Source organism: Homo sapiens, chromosome 6 (genome assembly GCF_000001405.40).
Source record: "Homo sapiens chromosome 6, GRCh38.p14 Primary Assembly".
NCBI classification, from domain to species: domain Eukaryota; kingdom Metazoa; phylum Chordata; class Mammalia; order Primates; family Hominidae; genus Homo; species Homo sapiens.
In genome coordinates this window covers 94,340,425-94,341,948 of record NC_000006.12, presented here as the reverse complement: position 1 = coordinate 94,341,948, position 1,524 = coordinate 94,340,425, and the positions used below count along the sequence as shown (strand labels likewise).

The 1,524-nt window shown below is 33.1% G+C and overlaps 1 annotated feature.

The window, feature by feature from the left end:
- Positions 296 to 894: an enhancer, noted in NCBI's record as "OCT4-NANOG hESC enhancer chr6:95050773-95051371 (GRCh37/hg19 assembly coordinates)". NCBI's record gives its function as "activates a minimal SCP1, AML or CMV promoter by ChIP-STARR-seq in primed H9 embryonic stem cells {active_cell/tissue: H9 hESC(primed)}" and the evidence as "EXISTENCE:reporter gene assay evidence [ECO:0000049][PMID:30033119]".

Genomic DNA, 1,524 nt, shown 5'->3' with positions numbered 1-1,524 from the left:
ATATGTATACATTTTATTTTAGAAAGTGAAATATGTCTTGGGTACATGTATTCTCCTGGGGCATGTTAAAATGTTGTGCAATTGGGGAAAATGGTAAGACATTTGTAACAAGAGATTTGGATTTACTAATTATAGGCTCCTAAGCAACTTTCTGATAATCAGTTTCTTCATCTATAAAATGCAAGTAGTTATGGGTATACTCAGCGGACTCTTACTGGAATTAAAGAAACAATATTTGGGAAGAATTTTAAAAACCATCCAGTTCTGCACACTTGTTTTTAAACTTTTTCCATTACTTCTATTTTATTTTTTATTCTGTTCACTTATAAAACATAATGCCAAGTTACTCAGCCTAATTAATGTAATATTATCTAACCTTGGTTTTATACAGAACTCCAACATAATGAAATTTTATTTCACTTATACTTTAGAAACACTGTAGTGCCATTTCCTGGGCAGAAACAAGGGAAAAAGCTAGCCCTAGGCGTGGGTCTAACAGGCGAGACTCACCAAGCATATGGGCAGGCAGTGCTTCAGTGCCTGAAGTGGAGAGATCAAAAGCACAGTGGATGGCCTTTCTCTGGATGACTTCCCCAGATGCTTAAGGTTCTTGAAACAGCTGTTTCAGTGCAGGCACAGCAGGTATCTCACTCTACCCTCTTCAGATTATGGATGTTTTGCAAAGTCCTCAATGGATTCTTCTTCCTTACAAATTGGCCTATAGATTAGACATGACAATTAGCATTGGTCTATAGACTTACAGAAAGAAGGAAATTAGTCTGGAACTAAAAGAAAACATGCTGTTCACTAGTAAAACATATGACATAAATTAAGTAGAGGATTATAAATGATGAGTAGAAGAGACCTTTGAGATTGTATAGCTCATCATCCTCATTTTACAGATGCGGAATCTGATGATGTATTTTGTTAGGCGCTTATGGTCATCATCTCTGAGATTGCTAAATATTGGGGGGAAGAAGCAAAGGGAATTTTGCACACTCATTTTTTGTATGGCTATATTTTGAATTTTATCTATTTAACATAAGACATTTATATTTATTGAAACAGCAATCTTTCAAATCTTGATAATCTATAAGGCAATACTCCCAAATTTAAAAATATTATATTTTCCCTTTTATGAATGAATGTTTTGATTCAAATACAGTATTTATTATTTTTTGAATTTCAGACTCTTGCTTGGATTCTGATAAAATGTTATACATTAATTAACTCTTCATTTATTTATTCATGTATTTATCCTGTGATATTAATAAAATATCCATTACTATTCTGGCATTGTGCTAGATGTTGAAGATACAAAAACAGAGAAATGGTTCTTGTACTCTAAAGGAGAGAGTATAATGTAGTTGTCAAGAAAACTGGCTCTGGAGCTACCTTAAGTTTAAATTTTGACTTCATTACCATCTATCTAAGAGACCTTCATCAAGTTGTTTAATCTCTGTGACCCTTGCTTTCCTCATCTGTAAAATTCTCATAATAACATTATCTACCTCATAGGAATTT